Source organism: Homo sapiens, chromosome 12 (genome assembly GCF_000001405.40).
Source record: "Homo sapiens chromosome 12, GRCh38.p14 Primary Assembly".
NCBI lineage: Eukaryota > Metazoa > Chordata > Mammalia > Primates > Hominidae > Homo > Homo sapiens.
Window position 1 is genome coordinate 27,055,150 of NC_000012.12, and position 3,575 is coordinate 27,058,724.

The following is a 3,575-nucleotide window of genomic DNA, read 5'->3' on the forward strand; positions in this document are numbered from 1 at the left end:
CATGATTGGGCCACTGCACTTCAGCCTGGGTGACAGAGTGAGACCCTGTCTCAAGGAAAAAATAAAGAACTTCTATTTATCAAAAGACAGAATTAATTGAGTGGAAAAGCAATGGACTGAGCGAAGATAGTTATAGACATAGATATATATTTTTGAGATAGAGTCTTGCTCTATTGCCCAGGCTGGAGTGCAGTGGCAGTCTCAGCTCACTGCAACCTCTGCCTCCTGGGTTCAAGCAATTCTTGTGCCTCAGCCTCCTGAATAGCTGGGATTGCAGTCGCACCACCACACCCACTAATTTTTGTATTTTCATTTGAGATGCAGTTTTGCCATGTTGGCCAGGCTGGTCTCGAACTCCTGGCCTCAAGTGGTCTGCCCACCTCGGCTTTCCAAACTGCTGGGATTACAGGTGTGAGCCACTGTGCCTGGCCTTGAGAGAAAATATCTTTAATACATATATCCAATAAAAAACTCATACATAGACTATGCAAGGGGACTCCAAAACTTCATGAAAAATGGAATTAAAAGATAAAACATAAACTTCGTTTCTCAACATACTTTATCAGGCTCAAGATACTTTTGTAAGCAGTGATACCAGCCATTCAGTCCACCCCTAAAGAACTGAGGATCCTGGGAATTTAACCATGTCAATGCAGTCTTTTTTACATTATCAACTGAAGAAAAATTGGTGCCCTTTAAAGATTTTTTTGAGGCAAAAAGAAGTAAGAAGGAGCTAAATCAGGATTGTAAGGTAGACGTATAATGAGTTCTCATCAAAATGCTCACAAATGTCCCTTGACTGATGAGAGGAATGAGCAGGAGCATTGTCGTGGTGGAGAAGAACTCTCTGGTGAAGCTTTCCAGGCATTTTTCTGCTAACTGGCTAACTTTCTCAAAACCCTGATAATAAGCATTGTCATAATATTGTCATTTTTTTTTTGAGACAAAGTCTCACTCTGTCGCCCAGGCTAATGTGCAGTGGCGTGATCTCATCTCACTGCAACGTCCGCCTCTCAGATTGAAGCGATTATCCTGCCTCAGCCTCTCAAGTAGCTGGGATTACAGGCATTGAGCCACCATGCCTGGCAATATTGTCATTCTTTGGTCCTTCAGAAAGTCAATAAGCAAAGTGCATTGAGCATCCCCCAAAAATGTTGCCATCACCTTTGCTCGTTTTTTTTTGTTTTTTGTTTTTTTTTCTGAGACAGGGTTTTGCTCTGTCACCCAGGCTGGAGTGCAGTGGCGCGATCACGGCTCACTGCAGCCTCAACCTCCTGGGCTCAAGCGATCCTCTCACCTCAGCCACCCAAGTAGCTGGGACTATAGCCACATACCACCATGGCTGGCTAATTTTTAAGTTTTTTTATAGAGACAAGGTCTTACTATGTTGTCAGGCTTGTCTGGAATTTCTGAGAAGTGATCCTCCTGCCTTGGTCTCCCAAAGTGCTAGGATTACAGATATGAGCCACTGTGCTCAGCCCTCCTTTACTCTTGACCAGTCCACTTTTGCTTTGACTGGACCACTTTCACCTCTTGGTAGCTATTGCTTTGATTGTGCTTTGTCTTCAGGATTGTACTGGTAAACGATGTTTCATCTCCTATTACAATTCTTCGATTAAATGTTTTAGGATCTTGATCCTACTTGTTTAAAATTTCCATTGAAAGCTCTGCTCTTGTCTGCAGCTGATCTGGGCACAATGGTTCTGGCACCCATCCAGTGGAAAGTTTGTTCAACTTTAATTTTTTAGTCAGAATTGTGTTAGCTGAACCAATTGAGATATCTGTAGTGTTGGCTATTGTTTCTGCTGTTAATTGTCAGTCCTCTTCAATTAGGGCGTGAAGAAAATTACATTTTTTCTTGCAAATTGATGTGAATGGTGTGTTGTCGCAGGCTTCATCTTCAATATCACCTCATCCCTCCTAAAATGAGTTATCCATTTGTAGGCTGCTAATGTCTTTGAAGCATTGTACCCATAAACTTTTTGTAAAACATCAATAGTTTCACTGTTCTTCCACTTAAGCTTCACCATAAATTTCATGTCTTGTTATTTCTTCAATTTTAGCTGAATTCATGTTGCTCTGATAAGGGCTCTTTTCAAATTGATGTCTTATCCTTCTTAGGACTTTAAACTAGATCCTGTTCAGACATGCTATATTAAGTTTAGTATGAGTTTATTTTGGTGCAAAAACAAATAAATCCATGCATAGTTTTTTTTCATAATACACATTTTCCATGAACTTTTCAAAGGCTCCTCCTGTAAGAAACTCCTGCAAATTAATGATAAAAAGACAGACAACTCAATATTCTTAAACGAGTAGAAGTGTGTACCTCAAAGAAAGAGAATATCCATACGGCCACTAAATGTAAAACATGTTTGTTCATCATGCTTAGGTATCAAGAAGCCAAATATAAGCCATAATGAAATACCACTATACCTCCACCAGAATGTCAACACCAAGTTTTGGTGAGGATACAGAGCAAATGGAACTCTCATACGTTGCTCATGGGAATGCAAATTTGTACACCACTTTGGAAAAATTTTTGGCAGTATCTACAAAGCCAAACATACACAAACTCGTTGAACCAGCAATTCCACTCTTGAGTATGAACACTACAGAAGTGAGTGCTTATATCCACCAAAAGACATGGATGAATGTGTTCATAGCAATTACAGTAATGGCCCTAACCTGATAAAAATTCAAATGTTCATCGTGAGTCAAATGAATAAATAAATTGTGAATGAATGATAGTGATATAATAATGATACAGAAATAAAAATGAACAAACCACATTCAACAACATAGATGAACTCACACACAAAATATTGAAAGAAGATAGACATAAAAATAATATATTGTATGATTTCATTTGTATGTAGTTCAAAAACAAGTAGAACTAATCTGTGGTAAAATTCAGATAGTCATCATTTTTAATGAAGTATTGATGGAATGGCAGGAGGAAGCTTTGTGGAATGCTGGAAATGTCTGTATCTTTAGTTGATGCTTATGTAAAAATTCATTAAACTGTATATGTAAGATTTATGCACCTTACTCTGCATATAAGTTATCTCAAGAATAAATAAATGGGTTGGTTGAGAGTTATATCCATATATCAGTAGACAGAATGATGGTGAATAAAATAAGCTTGATATTTGATTTTATAGGTATCAATAAGAATTCTTGGGTGGAACATGTATATGGAATATAGAATTTAAGTGAAACTTTGGTTAAAAATATGTAATATGCTGGGTGTGGTGGCTCACACCTGTAATCCCAGCACTTTTGGAGGCCAAGACAGGCAGATTGTTTGAGCTCAGAAGTTTGAAACCAGCCTGGGCAACATGACAAAACCCTGTCTCTACTAAAAATACAATGGTATTTGTATTTTTATATTAGGGAAGCATCTTTTAAAAAGTAATTAATTAATTAATTAATTAATTAATTAAAAAGGTCTTGCTGCATTGCCCAGGCTGGTCCTGAACTCCTGGTCTCAAGTGATCCTCCCAGCTACTCAGGAGGCTGATGTGGGAGGACTGCTTGAGCCCAGGAGGTTGAGGCTGCAGTGAGCCATGATC

At 38.6% G+C, this 3,575-nt stretch overlaps 1 annotated feature.

The window, feature by feature from the left end:
- Positions 953 to 1,153: a silencer, noted in NCBI's record as "peak1625 fragment used in MPRA reporter construct". NCBI's record gives its function as "represses an SCP1 promoter by STARR-seq MPRAs in K562 erythroleukemia cells {active_cell/tissue: K562}" and the evidence as "EXISTENCE:reporter gene assay evidence [ECO:0000049][PMID:32103011]".